Source organism: Homo sapiens, chromosome 12, assembly GCF_000001405.40.
Source record: "Homo sapiens chromosome 12, GRCh38.p14 Primary Assembly".
Taxonomy (NCBI): domain Eukaryota; kingdom Metazoa; phylum Chordata; class Mammalia; order Primates; family Hominidae; genus Homo; species Homo sapiens.
In genome coordinates, this window is record NC_000012.12 from 106,298,430 (window position 1) to 106,324,622 (window position 26,193).

At 43.3% G+C, this 26,193-nt stretch overlaps 1 protein-coding gene across 20 annotated transcripts in view, besides 4 other annotated features; it reads left to right on the plus strand.

The window, feature by feature from the left end:
- TCP11L2 (t-complex 11 like 2) overlaps positions 1–26,193 on the plus strand; it is a 49,069-nt gene that overhangs the window by 495 nt on the left and 22,381 nt on the right. For 3 of the 20 annotated variants that reach the window (NM_152772.3, XM_011538132.4, NM_001286262.2), the window contains exons 1-6: positions 4,304–4,512; positions 12,612–12,803; positions 15,929–16,064; positions 19,915–20,035; positions 23,057–23,277; positions 25,081–25,217. In NM_152772.3, the coding sequence (NP_689985.1) occupies positions 12,647–12,803; positions 15,929–16,064; positions 19,915–20,035; positions 23,057–23,277; positions 25,081–25,217 (772 nt within the window). In that variant the 5' untranslated portion in view covers positions 4,304–4,512; positions 12,612–12,646. Of the gene's footprint in view, positions 1–3,443; positions 3,621–4,303; positions 5,803–8,852; positions 8,942–10,501; positions 10,649–12,611; positions 12,804–13,863; positions 14,006–15,928; positions 16,065–19,914; positions 20,036–23,056; positions 23,278–25,080; positions 25,218–26,193 lie in introns of those variants that run through there. The other 17 variants (XM_011538129.4, XM_047428669.1, XM_011538130.3 and 14 more) reach the window with 12 other exon arrangements.
- Positions 3,942–4,061: a silencer, noted in NCBI's record as "silent region_4816". NCBI's record gives its function as "represses an Ori minimal core promoter by ATAC-STARR-seq in GM12878 lymphoblastoid cells {active_cell/tissue: GM12878}" and the evidence as "EXISTENCE:reporter gene assay evidence [ECO:0000049][PMID:35858748]".
- Positions 4,082–4,967: an enhancer, noted in NCBI's record as "H3K27ac-H3K4me1 hESC enhancer chr12:106696289-106697174 (GRCh37/hg19 assembly coordinates)". NCBI's record gives its function as "activates a minimal SCP1, AML or CMV promoter by ChIP-STARR-seq in primed H9 embryonic stem cells {active_cell/tissue: H9 hESC(primed)}" and the evidence as "EXISTENCE:reporter gene assay evidence [ECO:0000049][PMID:30033119]".
- Positions 4,142–4,221: an enhancer, noted in NCBI's record as "active region_6946". NCBI's record gives its function as "activates an Ori minimal core promoter by ATAC-STARR-seq in GM12878 lymphoblastoid cells {active_cell/tissue: GM12878}" and the evidence as "EXISTENCE:reporter gene assay evidence [ECO:0000049][PMID:35858748]".
- Positions 4,232–4,371: an enhancer, noted in NCBI's record as "active region_6947". NCBI's record gives its function as "activates an Ori minimal core promoter by ATAC-STARR-seq in GM12878 lymphoblastoid cells {active_cell/tissue: GM12878}" and the evidence as "EXISTENCE:reporter gene assay evidence [ECO:0000049][PMID:35858748]".

Below are 26,193 nucleotides of genomic sequence, written 5' to 3' on the forward strand. Positions count from 1 at the left end.
GATTTTTGGCCCTTTCTGTAGCACCTGAAGATGGACAGGGGAGAGAAAAGAAGTGGGATTCCTTTGAAAAACATTTTTTTTAATTTAATTTTTAGTTTAAAATTTTTTTTGAGACAAAGTCTCGCTCTGTTGCCCAGGCTGGAGTGCAGTGGTGAAATCTCAGCTCACTGCAACCTCCGCCCCCCAGGTTCAAGCAATTCTCCTGCCTCAGCCTCCCAAGTAGCTGGGATTACAGGTGTGTGCCACCACGCCCAACTAATTTTTTGTATTTTTAGTAGAGATGAGGTTTTGCCATGTTGGTCAGGCTGGTCTCAAACTCCTGACCTCAAGTTATCCACCTGCCTCGGCCTCCCAAACTGCTGGGATTATAGGTGTGAACCACCATGCCCGGCCATTTTTTTTTGTGAGACCAGGTTTCACTCTTGTTGCCCAGGCCGGAGTGCAATGGTGCAATCCTGGCTCACTGCAACCTCTGCCTCCTGGGTTCAAGTGATTCTCCTGCCTCAGCCTCCCAAGTATTTGGGATTAGAGGTATGCACACCATGCCTGGCTAATTTTTTGTATTTAGTAGAGACAGGGTTTCACTATGTTGGTCAGGCTGGTCTCGAACTCATGACTTCAGGTGATCCACCCACCTCAGCCTCCCAAAGTGCTGAGATTACAGGCCTGAGCCACCATGCCCAGCCCATTTTTTTGCTTTTTGTTTTTGTTTTTTTCAATTACAATGGAGTCACATCTTACAGGAGGGGTTAGGCTCTTAAGGAAGACCATGAGGTCAAAGTGCAGTGAAAATTACTCTTGAAAATTTTTTAATGAGCCATAAGACCTGGGATACACCAAGTTTTTGTCGTTTTTTGTTTGTTTGGGGCTATTTCTTTTCTTCCAGCATTGAAACAGACATAAGTTTCTTCAAGTGAGCACTGGTTGAAATAATTGATTGGCACTTAGGGGCAGGAAGATAAGCACCTTTAACCACTAGACTCATATTCTGTGTGGGGAGATCAGGACCAGTTACATAATTTGCCAGGTCCAGTGCAAAATGAAAATGCAAGGCCCCCTTTCAAAAAGCACAGTATTAAGAATCTCAACACAACAGCAGCAATGTATTAAACCAAGCACAGGGCTCTTCCAAGGGTGGGGCCTTGTGCAACTGCCCAGACTGCACGAACATGAAGCCAGCCGTGGGAAAGAAGCTTGGAACATAATGAGAAGCTCAGAAACTCAGATAAACACAGTAAGAGAAGCCTCACAACTCCCATAGAGAGAAATAGGGGACAAGATCACTGGAAGTATTTAAATTATTCTCTTGTGTTCCTCATATTCTGTCCTAGATGAGTCCCGTATAGCTAAATTTGCATTACATTAAATCAGTACAATATGCAACTCCACTAGAAAAGTTATAAGGCTGAGAGGTTGCAAATCCAACTGTAATTACATTTTTAGATTTTTGTCAATGATTTATTATAATTTAAAACTCAGATTTCAGATGTGTAAAAAGAAAATGAGTATTTCTATTTCTTCATCGAACAAAAATTTTGATCTGCCCTTAGTCTTTTGCCAAGAGTGATAGACCACATTTAGTCTACCGTGTAATTTACAGGGAGAAAAAAAAACTGTATTACTGTGAGTTCTCTAAGTGGTTCAAAAAGGTAAGTTAGAAAAACTAGGTGTAATAATATGTCTTCTTCAAATAAAATGCTAATTATTTTACTTCTAAAGAGGTTGCCTTTTCAGATTTTGTTGTTTTTTTTTTTTCCTCAGAAAGCCATAAACATAACCTGAGCAGGGAAGATTTTGTGTTATGACTGTCTGAGCCCTCTGAGCAACAATGTGATACAAGGCTCATTTTTGAGGGAACTGCCTTATATTTTACAGCACTCCATTTTTTCAAAGTGTTGTTTTTGTTTTGTTTTGTTTTGAGATGGAGTCTCGCTCTGTCGCCCAGGCCGGAGTAAAGTGGCGTGATCTCGGCTCACTGCAACCTCCACCTCCCAGGTTCAAGCGATTCTCCTGCCTCAGCTTCCAGAGTAGCTGGGATTACAGGTGCGTGCCACCACGCCCAGCTAATTTTTTTGTATTTTTAGTAGAGACGGGGTTTCACCGTGTTAGCCAGGATGGTCTCGATCTCCTGACCTTGTGATCCACCTGCCTCGGCCTCCCAAAGTGCTTGGATTACAGGCATGAGCCACCGTGCCTGGCCCAAAGTGCTTTTATACACAAGTCAGGCCAAGGGCAGTTGGTCAGGTAATTCACAGAAGGGTTTTCAGATAGCAAGTTATTTAACATTAAAGTAACAGAAGATAGTATTTCCAGCATCTTTTCTTATCTCAGCTTGGTTCTCTGATGTTACAGTTGAACTTGCTTTGACAAAAGCTGCTTTCCTGGTGGCTTTGAGAGCTACATATCTGAACTTTAAAAGAAGTGTCATGCCTAGGATCAGGCAGCTGGTCACTCCAGTATAAAGGACAACTACCCTGACTCATGGTCACCTGCTCCAACTTATGTCATAGCTCAAAACAATACTTAAATCCTTACAAAGCTAACAAAGGAAGTAATGTTGCCATGTGTCATTGTCACAGAATTACCAGAAGTTTGGGGGATTTGGGTGTTCATCTTTCTATTGTGGAGTTTTTAGGGTGGTGATGGCAGTTGTGTGGTGGTTGTCATTTGGCAGGAATTGAAATTGGAGGCTTCTGTCATTCTGATTACTTATCCAACGAATGACACAAATAAGAGCATGTTTGTAGGGAAGAACTCAGGTGGGGACAGCACCTTCTATTTAATCTCTTAACCTGTATTATTAGGTTGTATATTTTAGGAGAAGAGAGGAAAGTGGCAAAAGGAGGCACAGATACAAATTTATACAGATCACCAGCTAAGTTTGGCCACAGTGGTTTGCCAAAGAATTTCAATAACTAATACTTAGAGTGCTTACTGTGCACCCTGCTAAGCACTTCACATGCTTTATTTCACTTTATCCTCAAAATAACCCAAGGAAATAGCTATCATTGTTATCCCCAGAGACCAAGATCTCATGGATAGTGAATGTCAGAGCCAGGACTGGAACCATAGAGGAGTCTGTGTTGTAACCACTGAACAACTGACTTTCTACCCTGCTTTAAAATGTTGCCTGTTGTTTGTTGTTGTTGTTTTTGAACGGTGGTGGCCAATCTGCCTCCACAATCCAGACATAATTTCGGCACTAAACAGAAATACTTTAGTCTATACAAACTTCATGTAAGTAGTTCCTGCATGAAACTATTTCCCAAGTAATACAGCACCGATTTACACCTGGCAGAAGGCATAGTTTTGATGTGAACAGTTGGGGGAAGCTTGTTTCTCTACACCCTCAAGCACGCCCACAGCAGGAGCTGAGCAGCAGGCCAGACGGCACAGAGCCCTCCTGGGACTGGTTATTTACATTAACCAAGGTGGAAACTTCTCCCGGAGATAGGTGCTGCCAAGAACCCTAGAGGAAGTAAGACGCTTTATCTTTTGCACGCACGCCAAGTCTTCAGAGGGCCTGGATGGGTGTGACTCCAAGGAGCTAATCGTCCCGTGCAGGTGCAAATCTAGACCCGTGTTTATGTGGAGGTGTAGACGCAACTGGAGATGACCCGGTTAGTGGCTGACGTGCGTGGGAAAGCCCACCAGCAGCGTTGTTGGTTGGGTTGTCTCTGTAAGTGTGGACAGTGTGTTGGTGGGCACCCAGTTCCGATTGCCCCGTCTAGACAGGGGTGTGCGGGCACTCAATGTTCCACGCGCGGCCGGGAGCTCGCAGTGTGGTCCACGCCAGTGCGCCTGGAAGCCCAGGGGATCTGTCCGGCACTCCACTGGAGGCTTGGCCCGCGGCTTCGCCCACCTCCCCAGAGCCCCGCTCAGCCCCCGCTCCCCCCGCTCAGCCCCCGCTCAGCCCCCGCTCAGCCCCCGCTCAGCCCCCGCTCAGCCCCCGCTCAGCCCCCGCTCAGCCCCCGCTCAGCCCCCGCTCCCCCACTCGGCCCCGCCCCCAGTGCCCTGGCAGGCCCCGCCCCCAACGCCGGGCGCTCCCGTCGGCTCGGCGGCCTCAGTTCCGTAAACACTTCTCACCCCGCCCCCGGCAGCCCGGACCGCACCACTCGCCGCGCGGGGGAACCGTGCCCTCTCGCATCCGAAACACCCTCCCATCCGAGCTGTTCTCGGCCTCTCTGGTTCAAACTGACGAAGACTGTTTCTCTAATAGGTTCAGTCTGTGAGCGCTCGGCTTTCGGAGACTGAAGGGCCCTGGATCCCCTTGCCCCGTCGCGCCGTCGTCCCCCCGCTATCCGGTTTTGTGATGGCCGCGCCGTGGCTGCCTCCCTAGAGTCCCTCAGGGCCCTTTAAATACCGCGTTGGGGGGGACACTGGGGCTGGGGGGGTTTGTTGGGCTGGTGAGTTTTCGAGGTGACTGTGCTGTGCTCGGTGAGGGGACGCCCAGAGAGCCCTGACCCGGGGTCACTCCGTCGCCGTTCTCCTCTTGTCTACGTGCTGGACCCGGTGCGTATCCATCACGGGGGAGGCGTTGCCGGCTCGGAGGTGACCGGCCAGGTCCAACGGAGGGGACACCGCTGCAGCCCGAAGGCTCCCCTGCCCTATCTCGGAACTCCATCCTGGGAAGGCGGGGTCAGGGGCCATCAAGCTCGGCTCCTAGTTCATGTCTTCCCACTCCGCGTCCCCTTGTTTGACCTCGAACTGCCGTCCCGCGTGGGAGCGGGGAGCGGGGCACCGAGTGGCCGCCCCGCGTGTCGGGGTGGACACGGACTTCGGGCCTCGGAGGCCGCTTCGCCGCTGTTTAAATCCTGCTGGACAGGTACCAGCGGCATCCCGCCATCAGGGGCCCAGGGCACCCCCTTCCCCCACACTCCTCGGCCGGGCTGGAGTAGGGAACTGAGCCAGGGTAGAGGCAGGGCGGGCCCGGCAGCGTGTGTTTGGGATTTGTTGCCGTGGTTTCCCCGGCACTCAGCTCTGCCTCCGCCGTCCCCTCCCCCAAGGGTTTGTTTTGACAGGAAACCTGGTGCTGCTGGAGGGGAGGGGCGGCCAGAGGACGTGGGTGAGGTCGTGCAGACTGCTGCTGCGTCCCCTTGCCGGGACCTTTGGTTAAGGGGAAGAGGTGGAGAAAAGCCGATTGGGCCTGGGCTCGAACGCTGAACCCTCAGGTGTTGCTTGTGCTTCCCAAAGCTGCTACTGTAGGTGGCACCACTGGGGGTAATAGCAATGATTTGAGGTGGCATATGGATGAACATAGTTACTTGTTTTCGTTACTATTAAGAAAATCTGTTCCATTAAGTAAGCAGTTTCACAATGATAGAGTTTCCTTTTAAAATAAATATATTTAAATGCAAAAATCTAGTCAAGATAGAGACGCGGTTACTAAATTATAGTAAAGGTAAGGAGGGAGACGTAGAAATAGTCATGAAGAGTGGCACTCAAACGACTTAAGTTTGGGAAATCTTAGATGGTTGTCCTGCTACCTTAACTGTGAAGAAACTGGACAAGTTGTCCTTGTCCCCAGTGGGTGTCTCAGCACCCATGGTCACCAGCCCAGTCAGGGACTTTGCTCTTCTTACCTGCCAACGGATAATGAGTTAATCTCAGTGGTTCCCACTTGAGGAGGCTCCCTGCCGTGGTCCTTTTCCTCTCTTCTCTAGGGATTTCATGCATCACCCTGACAGCCAGTGGAAGTTGCCTGATTTGAAGAGGCCCAGGGCCGAAGATACCCAGTCATGTGTGGAAGCAGCTTCAATGCCATTTTGTGAGAGGTTGAGGGCCCCAGAGGGGGAAGCACAGGTATTAAAACAAAACAGACCAGCAAGTGTGGGAGGAGTGCTTTCAAATGTGAAAAGTGCCAGGAATCCTTCTCCCTGATGCTGTAATGCCACGTGTAACGTGAACATCTGCTTTGTGGACAGTGACTGGCTTGTTGGCTTTTATCTAGCTCTTTGTTGGTTCTAACTTGATGAAGACCAGTATTGTCTAGATGAATGGTATGGGCCCCTATCCCTCTGCTCTATGGTTTTTGCTTTGCTGTGGATGAATAACTTTAGTGCTGCTATTTAAGACTGATTCTAAAGCAGCATTTTGCAGAAGATGGAAATTTTTCACATCATCTGCAATTTTTTTCTTTAGAGCCCAGACTTAGTCCTCTGACTCCCTTCCCTTTACTACACATATGTGAAGGCTTGTCCTTGCAGCTGACCTCGATCTAGTGTTGAAGGATGGTACACACTAGAAGTTTCTTGAAATTTCTTTTTTGCGTGAGCTAACCTTAACTGGATGGGTTCAATTCCTCAAGGCCCTGCTGGGTAATCTGAATATTTCACTCCAAAATGTTTATGACTGTAAGCAGTTAACCTTTTTGCTAATACGTGGGGTCTAACTAGGGATTTTGCGGTGCATAAAGAATGGCTCCCTCCTAGAGGATTTTCTGTCACTGTAGCGGGGTGGTGAAGAATTGTTTTGGGTGACGTACTCCTTCAGTGATGCCCTTCACAGAATAGCACTTGAGCAGCCATACCAGGATAAGATCAGCTTGCTACCACATGTGCAAGTGTCCACAGGGTGATGGGTAGATGGATTTGGCAGAGTGGGAGTGGAAAGAATGAGCAGCACACCAAATTTTCTCCAGCCAAACTGGAGTGGTAGAGAGCATGGGTTTTAGGGATCCGCTTCCTGGATTTGAGTTGTGCCTCTACACTGCTGTGAACCCTTGGGCAAGTAACGCAACCTCTCTGGGCCTCAGGATCTTATTATAAAATGGGGATAATACTGATACATTAGCTAACAAGGTTATAATAAGGATTCAAGGAGATAAAATATATAAAGAACTTATCATAGAACAGTTATTGAGTGCTTATTACTACCTCAATAATAAGCACTCAATTACTGTTAGCTGTAATTGTTGTTATTTGCTACACGTGAGTTTCTTTAACCTCCTGGAACTGTGGGTCTTTGCTAGTTTGAATTTTTGGTGCCTTGCAAATGCACTGAAGTAGGCACTGGGAATTGGAGAGGAGAGTCATCGCTTCCACCAGCAGCTTAAAATCTAGTGGGAGACAGATATGCACACAAGTGTAGTACTGTAAGTGACTGCGTAATGGGAATATGAGTAATGTGAGTGAGGCAGAAAAGAAGGAAAACTCAAGGTGTCTTATGAATAGGAGTGTGGCGTAATTAGTTCATGCAGCTGTACTCACTGAGCTCCTGCTCTAGCCCTAGCGGTGTTCTAAGCTCTAGCTGGCTCATTAGATGCAGTGAGTGTAGCAATCAGGGAAGGTTACCTCGTAGTTGGTGACATTAAATTTCAAATCTGAATGACAATAGGGAGCCAACCACAAGGAGATCAGGGAGAGGAACATTTCAGGGGCAGAGAACAGCAGGTATGAGTGCCCCGAAATAGGAAGTTTGGCATGTCTGAGGAACGCAAAGAAGATCATGAAGGGTTAGTGGGAGAACACTGCAGAATAAGGTGGGCAGAGTTAAGATCACAGAGGGTTGTAAACCATGGCCCAGTGACTTAGGAAAAGGGAACCCACCTAGGGATGAACTCTTAAAAAGGATTATCTATTTTGCCTTTTCTGGAGGGCTCTGGCCTATTTCCTGTTTTATTCTTTAGGCACTGTTCAAGAAGGACATCAGGACAAGTTTGACTGTCTAGAAGAGTTCTTGTAATAGAGTGGTATTTAAGCTATCACAGCAGTGGGCACAATCAGAATTTCAAAACTGCAAGAGGTTGGACTGTTCTGAATTTGAATCTTGAAGTTTCAGTTCAGCCTGTCATCTTCTCTTTTAACCTTCTATTTGGAAATACTTTCAAACTTACAGATAAAGTCGTGAGAATAGTATAAGGAATACCATGTTGTCTACCTTTTTCTCAGATTCACCTATTAACATTTTGCTCTATGTGCTTTATTATTTTTTCTCTCTTGCATTTGAATCATTTGAGAAAAAGTTGTATATGTCATGGCCCTTTATTCCTAAATACAAAACCACAGTACATTTCAACTTCAGTATATTTAACATTGGATAACAGACAGTAGATTCAAATATTGTTAACAGTGCTATTGATTGACTGATACTGTCCTTTACAGCATTTTTGCTTCAGTATAGGATCCACTCTAGGATCACCTATTGCACTCAGTTATCAAGTGTTTTTTTTTCATTTGGAACATATTCTCAACCTTTCTTTGTTTTTTATGACATTACATTTTCGGAACTTGTAACTTCTTTTAATAAGAATAAAATAATAGTTGACATCCGTCAGGCACTTACTAGGAGCTTAAGTACTTGACAGATACTATTTCAGTTAATCTTCACAACACTTCTACAAGGTGGATACTATTATTGTCCCATTTTACAAATGGCGAGTTCTCTGTTTCTAGTCAGTAAATAATCAAGAGGAGCCGGGATCAAGAACCCAGTCCACCTAGCTCCAGAGGCAATGTTCTTATGGCTTCAGTGACATGTATTATCATCAGTGTATCTTTGCAATTCTGAACCAGTGCAGAACTATTTGCAGATAGAGTTGCTGCAGAAAGGAAATCAGGAAGTAAAGCTGCACACGAGCTGAGGAATCACAAGCAAATTAAAAACCAATCTCCTCTCTATCTGTAGTGAAATACAGCACTAGCCCCTTCAAGTCCTTGTACCCATTCACACCTCTTAAATGTCAGTAGTCTTACTACCATTCATTTATTCAACAATAAATATTTGAATAAATATTTGAATGCTTGCTGCATTCCAGTGATGGTCTCAGAAGAAATGACATTATATTTATTATCACAAAGTGATGGAATAATACAATCAAAAATGTGAATATGACAGTACTTTTCTTTGAATAGTGACCTGCTATCGTGTTGGAGGCTTTGCTTGGAGTCATCTTCAGTCTTTTCTGTTGACTTTACCTTTGACCAGTGATTAAATCCTCCAGGTATGATGAGATGTGATGTTTCTGAAAAGTTGTTTGATTTACTTGTGAGTTGCAGTGGCAAAGGTTAGGTAGATCTAAGTTTGCATAAGGAGTATTACCTTTCTTAAAGATACAGCCTGGTTTCATTATCATCAGTCTAAAGGATAATCCAAAATAGTTTTTAAAGCAATCTAAATATCCTCAGTGCCTTTTGAATCAAGTAGGTTTGTCCCCAGGTGACTTACTTGGAAACTCAAGACCGAGAAAGGTAAGAGCAGGTATGAAGGAACTTGCGGAAGACCATTCACACAGTGATGGGCCATTCGCTTTTGGTTTTTGTCTGTCAAACAAGTGCCAAGAGTTCTGTTCTATGTTAACTACCAGCCTTGTTTGTCTGTTGAAGAATATGGTGTTATCCTGACATAAAACTGTTCTTCCCTCCAGAGTGTTTAATTCCTGAGGCAATGATATTAACAAAAAAAAGCAAATAATAGAAAACATTTGTATACTGTTTACTGTGTCAATGACTGTTCCAAACACGCTGCATGTATTGGGTACCTGAAATCTCACACCAACCCTATGAATTAGGTATTCTTAGTAAGCCTATATGAGGAAACAGACAAATTTTTAATAGAGTAATAATGGGCATTTTGGCTTCAAATACAGGTTTCTGTTTGGATACACTAAGGCCCAGTTGTAATGTGGAGGCTTCTACCCACTAAACAAGAGTTTCTAAACATTTTGAAGCTTTTAAATTTTCCATTGCAGCCCCTGTGCCAGGAACTCTACCTCCAGTGAATTGCTGGAAGAAAGTGTAGTTTCACATTGTTAAGCATGACTGCCATAAGCACATTTAATTTCTCAGAACTTCTAGTGATGCCTCATGGAACTCTGGGTTTGGAGCATCATATATTCCTTGCTGAGAGAAACCTTATGACTGGCCCAACCTCTCAGAAAAATGTGCATAAAGTCACACGGCACATTAATGATGAACCCAGGCCACAAACCCTGGACTCCTGACTCCCAATTATTTTAATCTTTGCACTTTTCTGCCTTGTTAAACACAGTTAAGAAACCTACCAAGTGTGCTATCCAGCTAAAGTAGAAAAATGAAATGGACAGTTAAAACTATTAAGCTAGTTCATAAATTCTCATGGCTGGAAGCTCTTATTCAATTTCACTTGGAAAAACAGCCAGAGCTCATTTGAGGGCAACCGAAGTAGAGAAAAATTAAGAGCAGAGCATGCATAGCACAGCGGTTACATTACAGGGGAATAACTGGGGGAAAAATGACTTAAAGTGGAAACAAACTTTAAGATATTCAAATAAGAGCATGACAAGGACCTGAGAATCTTGAGGTTTAAATCTAATAAGATAGGCTTAAGCAGTAGATTCTCTGCTCTAAGGCTTGGGCTTTGGCAGTACCAGCCTGGTTAACGTGTCATGATATCAGGTTGCAAATGTTCTGGTTGAAGCTGTACCAAATGAGATTCAGGGATTCTGATTTAGCTGACACTGAATGAATACTTGTCATATACTTGGCGCTGGTCATGGACAAGACACAAACTCTGCTTTATTAAGGAGATTCAGAAGTAGCCATGGGAAGAAAGGAACAAGGAACTAATGTACAAGGAACTAAGCGCTGTCATGGAGATACAGGAGACGCGCTGCAGACATACCAAGAGGAGTGCTATTCACTTTGGCTAGAAGCAAGGCTTCCTGGAGAAGGTAGCATTTGCAAGAAATGCCATCAGTGGGACATCAAATGTTGGCAAAGAGAGGAAGCAAACTAGAGGGGAGGGTGAACATTCCATTTAGGATTTGGGGTTTGGTGGCAGTGAAAGGTTTGAAGTAGCCCCTTTTCTTCTGTCTTCTCTCGCCTTCCCCTGAGCAGATTGGAGTTTAAGCTCAGGTAGAATTTAGTCTTCATGAGTTAGAGGAGGCTGTTTCACCACTGAGGATGCAAGGGCTCAAGAATCTTATAGCCAGTGTTCATGGCTTTGGGATTCTGGGATAAGGTGAGTGTCTCCACTCCACTCCTTGCCCTTCAGCCTGCACAAGTGGACTCTAGTGGTTTTCTGCTTGCAAAAGTGGTGGGCTCAGCAAGGATACATTTCTGTGGCAGGATTGAAGACGGTTGTTTAGGTGAGGCAAGGCGCAAATGACCTTAGACCTTTCACCCTTATTAGATCCCTCTCAGACTCATCCTTGTCCCCATCACCATCCAAGGAATTAAAAAAATTACTCTTTTTCTCTCAACAAAGGCTAGTGCCCCTTCTCCCGCTCTGCTAATCCTGAGCCTGCCTCTCCTTTCTTGTGTTTTCTCAACAATGCCTTATTCCCCCTTTTCCCATCTAGTAGCATTCAGTACACAGTTTTAGGTAGCTGGACTTGAGAACCACAAGAATAGGGCATTGTCTTTGTTTGGTTACTTTCCCCGGTGCTCAGTGCTCAAGTAGGCACTTGTTGAATATTAATGGAATCATTGAAGAAACTGCAGGCATTTTCAGACATACTATACATAGTTGTGGTTTCCCATTCTGGCCGCTTTAAAAGCACTGCATCCCTCATTGCATGGGCTGGTTTAGGTTTAAAAGGATTCAGTGAACTCTTCCTCTCATTATTGTCCATCCAGGATTTGAGGTGCCTTTCTCCTTGAGCCCGGGTTTCCCCTTCAGTGTCAGGTGATACCATATTCACATCAAGGTCAGCTCCCTCACGGGCCTGGCTGGTGCTCCTGGGACCAAGGCCTGGTCATCCTGTGTGCCTGTGATCTGCTTTCTGGGTAGTGTCCAAACCTGACGGCCCTTCCCTGGAAGGATTCTCATGTCCCAGAAACACTGGACATAGACACCAAGGGACTGGTTTTATCATGTAGTAAATCCCCTTATCCCTCTGAGTCTGTTCCCCCACTTGTGAGTCAGGATCCTACATGCTTGTGCACTCATAGGGTTGTGATGGGTACTTTGTAAATTGTCAAATCCTAACCATATATCAGGTCTTAATCTTCATATCACAGCAGTTCATGTGGAAATGGAGGGGGAAGAAGCTAAAGACTTGCCAGCCAGAGGTTTCATGCGGTCTTCCCCTTTCCCCAGGAGGTTCACAGAAAGCGTAAAGAGGCTGATTTCACAGCTATTTTATCTGAAACAAAGCAATAGGAGCAATAATAGCAGCTAACATTTGAGTACTGTGCCAAGCTCTTTAAGATGAATTCTATTCAATCTTCTGGCAACCCAATGAGAGGTTAGTCTTTCAGTCCAGTTTCACTATGAGGTAGGTAGTTAAGTGACCTTCCCAAGGTCTCATGGCAAAAGGCAGAACAGAACGAGAGATCTGACCCAAGTCCCACACTCCCGCCTTCTCATGTTTCAGCAACCCAGGAGGAGAGAGCATGTGTCCTGCATCTTTTTAAAAAGGACCTGCCATTACTTAGAGCTTCACATTTATAGTGGGTGTGTCCTGAGTAAGCTCACACCTATGGCTGTGGAATCCCTTTTCAGAAAGGCAATCTCGATGACCTAGTGATCTGGCCTAGTCCGGCCAAGGTGCTGGGGGAAGGATGAGGTCATCTGGGGGCCTTTCCAACACAGTGACACTTGTGGGGACAGTTGTCTACACTGGAAGAAGCATTGGTGGTGCCTGTGGAAGTACCACAGAACATTGACGCAGGGTCTGTTTGTCTGTGCAGGTGCTACCTTTTTACCCACACTTAAGTGACGCAAAATGCCCTTCAATGGCGAGAAGCAGTGTGTGGGAGAGGACCAGCCAAGCGATTCTGATTCTTCCCGGTTTTCCGAAAGCATGGCTTCGCTCAGTGACTATGAATGCTCCAGGCAGAGCTTTGCAAGTGACTCCTCCAGCAAATCCAGCTCTCCTGCTTGTGAGCCGATGGGGGAGCAGGGGTTGTGGGTGGCAGGGGTACTTCTAGATATGTGTTGGATTTGAAAACTCAGAAACGCCTGAGAGCAACAGACTTCCCCTCCTTTCTAGATGCACCAGAATAGCACTGCAGAGGCACTGCAGCTTTCCGGGACACATTCTCAGAAATAGCCACTAAAGTTTACAACCTGCTGATTTTTATTTTGATCACTGCTTCCGATCTGTTTCGGTCTGATGATAAGTCAGGACTTCAACCCCATCTGTCTTTTCTCCCAAACAGCAGAAAGCCATTCCTTGAGATTACTTCTTAGATCTCCACTGAAGGATAAATTCAAATTGGTCTTTTCTGATTATTCCTGATTTACATTGAAGGAAACTGGCCTTCATTGAAAGGTCAGGAAGGAAGTGAAATAATCTAAAGGGTTTCATGTTGATTTCAAAAAAATATTGTGCAAATCACCCCAGGAAGGTACCCACAAGGAGAATTACTACATTAGGGGTGTGAGAAAGAGTTAAAAGAGAGGCCACAGCAAAAGGAGATATCTTTTTCCCGTTTTTGCATGTAGAAACTAGAGATGGGTAAAGCAGATGTGTTTGCCTTTTTTTTTTTAATTGGCACTTTATTTAGTAAATATAACAGCTTTAACTGGCAAAGCAAATGCAGGAAAAAGCAACTAATGTTTAATATGCTGAACTGTCCACTTCTTACAAATTGCTTCATTTGTATTTTAAATTTTTACATTCTCATTTTTTAAAACTTAGAAGATACATAAGAATAGAGAAAAGAAAACATTGCCTATGATATCACTCAAAGACGACAGCTGGCAGTGCTTTGCCGTATCTTTATCCTTCACATAGACATATGTGTGTATATGTGTGTGGACTCTTCTTGCTTAGTATTATAACTAAAACATTTACTCATGATTACATGTTTTTGAAACATTGGTTTTATGAATACTTATTACTTTACCAAGTGAATGTACGGTAAAATTAACCATTGATTAATCACTGGACATTTAGTTTCCATTTTTTTTTTTTTTTTTTTTTGCTGTTATAAATAGTGCTTTATGAACATCTTACTGCATGAAGCCTTTCTGGAAAGACTTTTGGATATCACTGGATTATTGGACCAAAGTATATAGACATTTTTAAGGAGAATCTTGAGTCAGACCTGGCAAAAGAAATTAACAGCAGCCACCCCAGGTTTCTGTGCCTTTTCTCACTCTTTATACTGTATGTGGTGTTGTTGCATCTGACACCAGGGTACCTAGGCATCCTGAAGAAGGGTTTTACCAATTCTGTGTATCACCTTTCTCTTCTTCCTCCTCTTTCCCTGATCCTCCTCCTCATCTTCTCCTAAAAATTAGGTAGCCAGGCGCAGTGGCTCACACCTGTAATCCCAGCACTTTGAGAGGCTGAGGCAGGCAAATCACCTGAGGTCAGGAGTTCAAGACCACCTGGCCAACATGGTGAAACCCCATCTCTACTAAAAATACAAAAATTAGCTGAGCATGGTGGCATGCACCTGTAGTCCCAGCTACTTGGGAGGCTGAGGCAGGAGAATCGCTTGAACCTGGGAGGTGGAGGTTGTAGTGAGTCAAGATTGCACCACTGCACTCCAGCCTGGGAGACAGAGCAAGACTCTGTCTTGGGAAAAAAAAATAAATTAGGTAGTAAAGTATTACCTGTCACTGCTGTTGTTTGACACATGATTTTAATTAAAAGAAGCTAAGATTTCCAACAGTGATTTTTAAAAGACATGATTTATTAGAATAGTTTCTTAGTATAATCTTTAGAAATAACTCAGATTCTTCATTTACTATTTCCTACTGAGAAGTAAAATATCTGGCTTCTCAGATTTATTCTATTTTACTTTTAATTATGTAAATTTATTGAGTTCTTACTATCTTCTTCTTTACTTAAATTATCTCATTCGGTCACCTCAGGCCAACCCTGTGAGGAGGAAGGCTATGCCTCAGTGAAATCCAATGATAAATACCAATTGGCAAAACTCAGAGTGAACCTAAGTGTTTATACTATACTGCCTATACATTTAAAAATTACAGTTTTTGGCTGGGTGCGGTGGCTTACACCTGTAATCCCAGCACTTTGGCCAAGGCAGGCAGATCATCTGAGGTCAGGAGTTCGAGACCAGCCTGGCCAACATGGCGAAACACCGTCTCTAATAAAAATACAAAAATTAGCCTGGTATGGTGACATGTGCCTGTAATCCAGCTACTCGAGAGGCTGAGGCAGGAGAATCTCTTGACCCCAGGAGGTGGAGGTTGCAGTGAGCTGAGATTGCACCACTGCACTCCAGCCTGGCAACAGAGTGAGACTCCATCTCAAAAAAATAAATAAATAAATAAATAAATAAATAAATAAATATTACGGTTTTAAAAATCAGTTATTTCATATTGAGTTTACTTAATGAGACTTCTGAATTACAGAATAAAAATAATTTTATCAATTTCCTATATAATACATATAATAAGTGCAGATTTCAATGGGCACTAAAAATGAGGTAATTTAATTTTTTTTTTTTTTTTTTTTGAGACGAGTCTCACCCTGTCGTCCAGGCTGGAGTGCAGTGGCACGATCTTGGCTCACTGCAAGCTCCTCCTCCTGGGTTCACGCCATTCTCCTGCCTCAGCCTTCCGAGTAGCTGGGACTACAGGTGCCCGCCACCATGCCCGGCTAATTTTTTTGTATTTTTAGTAGAGACGGGGTTTCACCGTGTTAACCAGGATGGTCTTGATCTCCTGACCTCATGATCTACCTGCCTCGGCCTCCCAAAGTGTTGGGATTACAGGCGTGAGCCACTGCGCCTGGCCTGGTAATTTAATTTTTAAAAGTAACTTATAATGGGCCTATATTAATAAGTTGGTCTCATAAATATTTGAGACAATGTTATCAAATATGGTAACTGAAGCTATTGAAGGAGTTCTTAAATTTTTGAAGCCTTTATTAACTGAGGGAATTCACCTATTTTAATATATAGTCTCCTGACCTATAAAACTCTGAAGTATATACATTCTGATAAATTAAACCTTATCTGCATCAGGAGGCTTCGTTGGATGACAACTTTTCTTCTGCAACATTAACTGGCTTTTGTTTTTCTTTCAGCAACAAGCCCTCCAAGGGTTGTAACATTTGATGAAGTGATGGCTACAGCAAGGAACTTATCAAACTTGACTCTTGCTCATGAGATTGCTGTAAATGAGAACTTTCAATTGAAACAAGAGGCTCTCCCAGAAAAGAGGTAACCTGGGGGCATTTGTTGTATATAAACTGCTGAAGATTCTGTGTGTGTGTGTGTGTGTGTGTGTGTGTGTGTGTGTGTGTGAGAGAGAGAGAGAGAGAGAGAGAGACAGAGAGAGAGATAGACACATATTTACACTGATTCCTGGAAGTTCTTGTATAATATCCTCAGGGGTAAACATTTAGTTCTCTAACAAGGTCTTATACTTGTTTTAAAAAAATTCTCGCTGGGTGTGATAGCTCACACCTGTAACCCCATCACTTTGGGAGGTGGAGGCGGGAGGATTCCTTGAAGCCAGGAGTTTGAGACTGGCCTGGGCAGCAAAGCAAGACCCCATCTCTGTAAAAAATAAAAATAAAAATATTATCCAGCATGGTGGCATGAGCCTGTAATTACAGGTACCGGGGAGGCTGAGTCAAGAAGATCATTTGAGCCCAGGAGTTCAGGGACTGCAGTGAGCTCTCATCATGCCACTACACTCCAGCCTGGGTGACAGAGCAAGACCCTGTCTCAAAAAAAAAAAAAAAAAATTCCTGTTTGTGACCAGCCCGGCCAACGTGGTGAAACCTCACCTCTACTAAAAACACAAAAATTAGCCGGCCATGGTGGTGGGGCGCGTGTAATCCCAGCTACTTGGGAGGCTGAGGCAGGAGAATTGCGTGAACCCAGGAGGTGGAGGTTTCAGTGAGCCGAGATCGCACCACTGCACTACAGCCTGCGCAACAGAGTACTCCGTCTCAAAAAACAAAAACAAAAACAAACAAACAAAAAAATTCCCCTAGGATACATATTACCCATAATCTTTAGAACTCAGTTTATATGTCACTTCCTGAGGGAAGCTTTTTCTGACATTGGTGAACCCCCTAGACTACAATTAATCCCTTTGCTACAGACACCTGTAGCCCTTGCTGCCTCCTTTTTGTTAAGAGGTCTTATAATTTTATGTTTGATGTCCATCTTCCCCACTTGATTGAAATGCACTATTTATGGAGGAGCTATGTCTGTATTGTTTGTTGCTGTATCCCTATTGTCTAGCATAGTGCCTGACATACAGTACAGGCTCAAGACATATTTGCACATTGATTTATGGAAAACTGATACTCAGGTTCTGAAGAATAAATAAATGCACCTGAACTGTCAAAGTGCTAAAAGCAGGCAATCCAGAAATGTCTGGAGGTAGGAATCACAGCTGCAAGAGGCACTTCCTGGTTAACCTCGCCCTCCGACCTCTAGTTGGAGCCACCCCTTTGGATCCTACTTCAGCCTTTCTGGAGTCAGTGGCTCACAGGTTTCCTGAGACAAAGAGAAGAGGCTTGAGACTATTATTACAGATCAGTCGTCTTTAGAAGCAAAGTTGGTTCGTGGATTGAATTTTCAACCTTACAGTACCAATTATAAATCCTGAGGCATTCTATCAGTTAAGACAACTTAGAATATTTGATCCCATTCAGAACTTTTTCATTTGTTTTAAAGCAGGAAAAGTAAAGGAAGTCAATGTAATAACTCTTCTTCTTTAAAATGTGGATCATAGTCCTCTTGGGGATGTTGTTCATTTAATATTAACATTTTTTAAGCTTGCCATGTATCGTGGGTGTATCTGTTTGGTTTCCTTTGGTAACTTGCATTTTGCCATGACCCTTGATACCAGCTCTACTGCTACAGCCCTAGGCTAGGCCACCGTCATCTGTGGCCTGGACCCTTTCAGTCCTAACTGGTTGCCGTGTCTCCTTTCTTAGCCCCCAACAGTTCATCTTCCATATCCAGTAGCCTTAATGATGTTTTTAAAGAATGAGCTATATTAGATGATTTCTTTGCCAAAAACTCTTCAATGGTTTTCACTTACTCAGAGACCAAAAATCTAAGCATTTTCCTATGGCCTGGATGGCCCCACTCCCCTGACCCCATCTCAGTGCTGTCCCTCCTGCTTGCTGTGCTTCAGCCACACTGGCTTCCTTCCTTACCTCAGGGTTCACCAATCTGGATCTTGTCTCATAAACTTTGTTCCTCTGACTTCTTCTTTTTGAATGTTCTTTTCCCAGACCTTCACATGGCTCTTTGCTCTCCCCTTCTGAGTCTGAACACAAAGGTCACTGACTTAAAGAGGCTTTTTCCCACCATCCAGTGAAATCAGCACCCTCTCTGTAACTGTGTACCACATTGTCTTATTCTTTCTCATAGGTCTGAAATTGTCGTATTCATTTTTAATGTATTTTTTGCCTTTTTGTCCCTGCTAACATATAAGCTTTTTGAGGTCAGAGACTTTCTTTTCACTGTAGTATTCCCAGTTCCTAAAACAGGGCCCTACACATATTGGATGTTTAATAAACATTTATTGACTAATACAAATGAATTTTTTGAGATGGAGTCTTGTTTTAAAGTTAAAATTTGTATTTTTTATGAGGTAAAGCAAAAGACAGGGCATATCTGTACTTTAAATTCAAAAGTGGCGAGTACAGGCCATAGTGAAGGCATTTTAGGCTCAGACAGACTGTGGGGTTTGAATCCTGGCTTTGCTGAGACCATACCTGAACCTCACACTTCCCAAGAATAAGAAGGGGGCTACACTACTCACTTCAAATGCATACTCACTAGCATAAAAGTGCCTTGCACATAAATACTTTGATACTATGGAAAATATTAATCTCTCTTCCCTTCAGTTTCTGCCATGGCTAGAAAATGTGAGCAAGGGAAACAAAGTACAGAGTTAGGACACATTGCCTTTGTTTAAAGATAAAGTCTTAGCCGGGCGCAGTGGCTCACACCTGTAATCCCAGCACTTTGGGAGGCTGAGGTGAGCAGATCACCTGAGGTCAGGAGTTTAAGACCAGCCTGCCCGACGTGGTGAAACCCTGTCTCTACTAAAAGTACAAAAATTAGCTGGGTGTGGCAGTGCATGCCTGTAATCCCAGCTACTTGGGAGGCTGAGGCATGAGAATCACTTGAACCTGGGAGGCGGAGGCCGCAGTAAGCTGAGACTGCGCCACTGCACTGCAGCCTGGGCGACAGAGTGAGACTCTGTCTCAGAAAAAAAGAGATATACTTATCAAATTATGAATTCATTCACCATGCATGCATTTGTTAAGCAGTCACTATATATCAGGCACTGTACTAGGCACAATGGTAAGTACCTACCTGGAGGACTTATGGCCTCTGCTTAGGAAAGGTATATAGCTCTGTGGGGAAAGAGCCTCGTCAGTAATTACAGTGGAGGGACATGTGGTTTTCTAAAAACTATTGCTAAATGGTAGAGAAGTTAGGTAGGAATGTGTATTTTAACGTGCACCTATTTTAAGGGATTGACATAAGGGGTGAAGCAAGGTGGCCAATTATTCTATTGTGAGCTCTTCCTAGGAAGGCTTCTATTTCACCAGTTTGGTCTGGCTAACTTTAAATGGGACACCTAAGTCTGAAGTTGGCAGGCATTCAAATGCATGTGCCCTTGGGGCCAATCTGTTCTATTCCATGCCATGAAATTTCAGCTGGTGAGGAAGAGCAACTTTGCCATCTCATCCCAAAAATGTAGAACAAGTCTAAAGATCTATATAGAAGGGTAGCTACATAAATTATGAAATCTCTTTAGGACAGAATTTCATGAAGTTATTGAAAGCATTTTCAAGGTCTAGGGGAAACAAGACAGAATGTTAAATGAAAAGTATATATTTTGTATATATGCTCTTAGCTATGTTAAAATAATGCATTCAACAAGAAAAATATTAAAAGATTAATGGATTAAGGACAATTATTCTGTGTTTTTTTTACATTTTATAAGATTTCTACAATGAGGATGTTTCTTTTATAATCAGGAAAAAGTTATGCTTATTTTAAAAAACAATTCATTTTATTGCCATAGTTTGGCTGGTCGAGTGAAGCACATTGTTCACCAGGCCTTCTGGGACGTCTTGGATTCAGAACTAAATGCTGACCCTCCTGAGTTTGAACATGCCATCAAACTGTTTGAAGAAATCAGAGAGGCAAGTTGCTTTGTTGTCTGTGTCAGTTAGCGTCTTACTCCAGGTGGGCTGCTATAACAGACTGGCATAGCCTGGGTGGCTTATAAACAATAGAAATTTACTTCTCACAGTACTGGAGGCTGGGAAGTCCAAAATCAAAGCACCACCAGATTCGGCATCTGGTGAGGGCTCACTCCCTGATTCATAGATGGTGCCTTCTTGCTGTGTCTTCACGTGGCAGAAAAGGCAGAGAAGCTCTTTAGGGTCTTTTTGTTGTTTTGTTTTGAGACGGAGTCTCGCTCTGTTGCCTAGGCTGGAGTGCGGTGGCACAATCTCGGCTCACTGCAACCTCTGCCTCCCGGGTTCAAGTAATTCTCCTGCCTCAGCCTCCCAAGTATCTGGGACTACAGGCTCATGCCACCATGCCTGGCTAATTTTTTGTATTTTATTTTATTTTTTTTTTTTTTTTTATTTTTTTTGAGACGGAGTCTCACTCTGTCGCCCAGGCCGGACTGCGGACTGCAGTGGCGCAATCTCGGCTCACTGCAAGCTCCGCTTCCCGGGTTCACGCCATTCTCCTGCCTCAGCCTCCCGAGTAGCTGGGACTACAGGCGCCCGCCACCGCGCCCAGCTAATTTTTTGTATTTTTAGTAGAGACGGGGTTTCACCTTGTTAGCCAGGATGGTCTCGATCTCCTGACCTCATGATTCGCCCACCTTGGCCTCCCAGAGTGCTGGGATTACAGGCGTGAGCCACCGCGCCCAGCCTAGGGTCTCTTTTATAACAGTACAGTTCCATTCATGTGGACCTCACCCTTATGACTTAATCACCTCCCAAAGGCCCCACCTTCTAATACCATTCCATTGGGGATTGGGTTTCAACATATGAATTTGGGGACAGAGGAAAACACAAATATTGAAACTATAGCAGTTTTTTCCCCCCAAAGATTGTTTTATGTTCTTTAGTATTGGCCACTCTTTTTCAAAAAAGGATCAAGTTCACTGGCAGAGTTTCCCCCTGCACCTCCTGGAGTAGCGTGAAGGCTGGAAAAATAGTGCCATGGACACAGCTTAGGGTGATGCTAAAGCGCAGAGACTCTGGTTTAGTGACGGGTTCTCTCTTTAAGTCTCTCTTTCCTGAGTACTTACAGGGTAGTCATAAGAACTAAATGAGGTGACAGTTGTAATGTTAGCTAACATTTACAAGGGCTTGCTCTATTCCAAGCACTAGATTGTTCATTTCTTCTTATCAGAACACTGTACAGTAGTTGCTCCTGTTATTCTTATTTATTAAAAATCCAAGTTTTCTGACTCATCCAGGGTCACACAACTTTGTGGGGTAGAGAGGGACTTGAACTGAGCCATACTGGCTCAGAGCGCAAGCTCTTAAGCATGTACTGTATGGATAAGCACAGTGTCCTCTGTAACTGAATAATCAATAAATAGGCTGCTTGTATATAATAAATATTCTATATGTAAAATATACTTAATCGACCCCATGGGATATTTTCATCTATCCTTTTTTAAAGAGTTCTTTTGGAGCCATGATCTGCACCTTGTTCTTTCTTCCCTGAACTTTTACCTGTAGACGTTTTGAAATGCAGCAGATCCTCGCATCATATTGATTTGTTCAACACTTTTTCTTTATAATGTTGATGAGAAAAAAGATAGATTCCAGCTGGGCGCGGCGGCTCATGCCTGTAATCCCAGAACTTTGGGAGGCCCAGGTGGGCGGATCACAAGGTCGGGGGATAGAGACCATCCTGGCCAACATGGTGACCCCATCTGTAACTAAAAATACAAAAATTAGCTGGATGTGGTGGTGCACCCCTGTAATCCCAGCTACTCAGGAGGCTGGGGCAGGAGAATCTCTTGAACCTGGGAGGCGGAGATTGCAGTGAGCCAAGATCACACCACTGCACTCCGGCCTGGTGACAGAGCGAGACTCCATCTCAAAAAAAAAAGAAAAGAAAAGAAAGAAAAAAGATAGATTCCTAGCTGGGGCTGCCATCTGTGTGGAGTTTGTATGATCTCCTCATGTCTGCATAGCTTTTCTTTGGGTACTCTGGTTTCCTCCCACATCCCAAAGATGTGCATGTTAAGTTCATTGACAAGTCTAAATGGTCTCAGTCTGAGTGAGTGTGGGTATGTGAGTGAGTGCATCCTGCAGTGGAATGGCATCCTGTCCAGGGCTGGTTCCTGCCTTGTGCCCTGAGCTGCCATGGTAGGCTCCTGCCACTTGCAACCCTGAACTAGAGTAAGCAAGCTGGAAAACGAATGAATACAAATTATTGTAACATAAAAATTCATAAAGTCTTCGATAGTCATACAGATGCACAACAATAAACAATGTGCCGTGAAAGTGCTCAGTGAGCCTGCCATAATTATTATTTATTTTTGAACTGTGTGGTGGTAGGAGGTGTTCCTTAAGAATTTTTGTTTGCAAACATTTCTTCCCCAGTTTAACCTACCACCATGGCAGCTGTCACTCACTGATTCACCAAAAATTGGGTCAATCATTATCTTGTTTTTATTAATTTTTCTTGTATGTATAGCTCACATTTATCTCAGTGTTTAATATTAGAAGTGTTTGGGGTCTTTATTTAGAAGTTTGGTGATTTTTTTTGTGACCAGAAATATGCCATAGAAACTTAACCGTTGTTTATATCAATTAGCCTATCTTAAAATTGGTTTCATTATATATCATTTCACTTAAAGTTGCAATTTCCAGGAACCTGTCAGCAATATTAAGTAAGGACTTACTGTGCTTTCAGTAATCTTGCTTCCTTGCTAGCTGTTTTTATTCTGACAGGAGCAGGAGTTTCCCATGGTGGGGGCCCTTTAATTCAGAAGATAGACCTTGCTATTTAGGGTTGAGACACTGGAATGCTCCTCTGATCCACCCATGCAGTCAGTGCCAACTTCTGTGGCATCTGAGGCACTAAAATGTGGGCAAAGAGCTTGGTCATCTAGACACTGAGGTGAAAAGTGACAGCTTTTATTCACATCATGATGCTGTTAATTTTTATTTCTTTCCCTGTAGATTCTTCTCTCTTTTCTCACTCCCGGTGGCAACCGGCTTCGCAACCAAATCTGTGAAGTTTTGGACACAGACCTCATTAGGCAGCAGGCTGAGCACAGTGCTGTTGACATCCAAGGCCTGGCCAACTATGTCATCAGTACGATGGGAAAGCTGTGTGCTCCCGTGCGAGATAATGATATCAGAGAGTTAAAGGCTACTGGCAACATCGTGGAGGTGCTGAGGTTAGCACTTTTGCTGTTTGCATTTCCTAGAGTATCTTTGAGTTCATTCAGAAGGGAAGTTGGGCATCAGGGAACACAGAATAACAACTAGTACCCCAAATAAATTACTGACCCTAGAAGAAAACCATATAAGCAGAGACCATGTCAATTATTTACTGTATGCAGAGAGTTTTCACATAGAATGATCTGACAAGGTTGTTAGTTGGCACATAGTGGGCCCTGAAGATGCAATGATGAAAAAGACAGATATAATCCCTGACTCCAGGGAGTCTAATGGGCAGAGAGATCTTGAACAATTAATTACAATTGTGATAAGTGGAAGGGGAAGTAGAGGGTCTTAATAGAGCCTCCGACAAGGGACCTAATTTAGTCAAGGCTTCTTTATTAGTTAGGGTCACTAGCTGCTATAACACATAAACCCTAAATTCTCAGTGGTTTATCCAGTAAAAGTTTGTTTCTCATGTCACAGTCCAATTCAGGGGTCCTTGATCAGACAACCCTCCACGTGTCATCCAGGGACCCAGCCTCCTCCTGTGCTTGGCTCTACCCTTGCTCAGGTCCTTACAGTCCTCTCCATTCAGCTGGCAAATGGGAAAGAGACCATGGGGAAGACATATGCAATATATAGCCACCTCAGCCCAGAAGTGACACATTCTCTTTGACCATGACTAGTCACATGATCCCACCTAGATTGAAAGGGGAGTTGAGAAAGGTAGTTACAGCCTGGAAATACTTTTCACAGCCACAAATTTGCACTGCAGGGAGGGAGATTGGGCCTTTAGTGGTCAGCCAGCCACATCTTCTGGAGCTTCTCTAAGGAAGTGGGGTGCATATTATGTCACGAGGATCTCATCTGGCTACATAGACGATAACTTCCTTGTGATCCAAGAGGGAAGAAGAGTCTGCAACACTTTTTGCCATTGAAGCAGAGTTTTCTTTTTTGTGTATGGTGGCCACATTGAGAATTGAGTTTTATGTAAATGTTTTGGAAAGGTAGGAGAAAGACTGGTCTGCATGTAGTGGGTAATTTACTTTGCAATCTTGGGCAGGTTAATAGACTCTCAAAGTGACACTCTCTGTCAAATGGGTGTTAAGTATCCTTAGAGTCGTGCTCGGCTCTGGCAGATTGTGATTCCTCAGTTATAGGATCCTTGCTTCTAGTTGTCGTATTACCCTAGTAAGATCTCAAATCTGTGATGTTCATCATGGTCATTTGTTGAGCGCCCACTGGGTGCCACTGCCCCCTGCACTTTACAATTGTTATCTCATTGACTGTTCACAACATCTCTACAAGGTTGAGGTTGTCCTCTTTCACAGATGAGGAAACTGAGGCTCAGAGAGACTGATTTACTTGTGTATATGCCCACAAATCTGGCCAGTTGCAAAGCTGGGTTTGGGCATGAGGCTGCCTAACTCTAAAAGGAAGTGTTTTTTCCTCAGTGCCTCACTGCCTTGTCCTTTCTTTTTTTAATTTTTCTTATTCCCTAAGGAATAGAGGCCATATACCCTGTGTCCTGGCTCTTTAAAATTTCAGGGGTTTTCAAATGAAAATTCCTTCTTGAATTTTTCTTATATCATTAAGATTGTTTATGCTTCAAGTAATTACTCTTGAGATCTGTGGAAGGACACATTTGCAGTACACGTGTATGAGCTTCTATGAAACATGACCCTACCAAATGGCAATTGGAACTTTAAAACCATTTTGGGGATGTTTATTGTTTTCAGCCTGGAACATAGATCATTGTTAGTGAATTTCAGCTTCACTTCTTAATCATCTCTCTATTTTAATTCTAAAATTTTTAGACAAATATTCCATGTCCTGGACCTCATGCAAATGGACATGGCCAATTTTACAATTATGAGTCTCAGACCGCACCTTCAACGCCAGTTGGTGGAATATGAGAGAACCAAGTTCCAGGAAATTTTGGAAGAAACTCCAAGTGAGTATAATATAATGTGTATTTATATTGAAATTAGGTTAAAATGATGATTTTAAATGTTAAAATTTAAATTAAATTAAATTAAATTAAATTAAATTAATAAATAAATAAAATTTAATTTAATTTAAATTAATTAAAATTTAAAATGTTAAAGGTTAAAATGAAAATTAGGTGATGTTTTCATTTTTGACTTCATATATAGTATCACTAAAGAATTTTGGCCTTTCTATTAAACATTTTTTTACCTTCCAAAATTGACATCACAAACTTACAGTTGTTTATTCTGTCCAGGAACTGTGCTAAGCACTATTCGTTTCTTCATTCATTCAAGATATATTTATTGAGTGCCTCCTGTGTTTCAGACACTGCTTAGGTGCAGTGGATACTGCAGCGAACAGAATGGAATACAGTTGCCGTCCCCAAGGAGCTGACATTCTAGTAGGCATGACAAATAAATAAACATATATTGTCAGGTGTATTATTAAGTGCTATGAAGAAAAATAGGATAAAGGGACAGTAATGGGTCAGAAGTGAGGACAGCATTGTTTTTTAGATGTGATGGACTGGGAAGGTCTCTGTAAGTAACATTTGAGTAAAGTTTGCAAAGAAATGAGGAAGGGGCATGTAAAGATGGGGAAAAGAACGTTCTAGCCTGAGGGACTGCAGGTACAAAGGCACTGAAGCAGAAACTGCTTATGAGTTTGACAAACACAGGGCAGACATTGTGACGGGAGTAGAGTTGGTAAGGGGAGAGTGGTAAGAGATGAGGCTGAAAAGGAGATAAAGGCAGGTCACATAGAGCATTGTTAGTAAATGAGAGGAGTTTGGATTTCATTCCATGTGCGGTGGAAACTCATCAGAGAGTTTTAATCAGGGGAGCAACATCTGATTTTCATTTTTGAAGAATATTCTTGTTCCTGGCTACAGAATAGGTCATGTGGGAACAAAGAGGGAAACAGAGGTACCAATTAGGTGG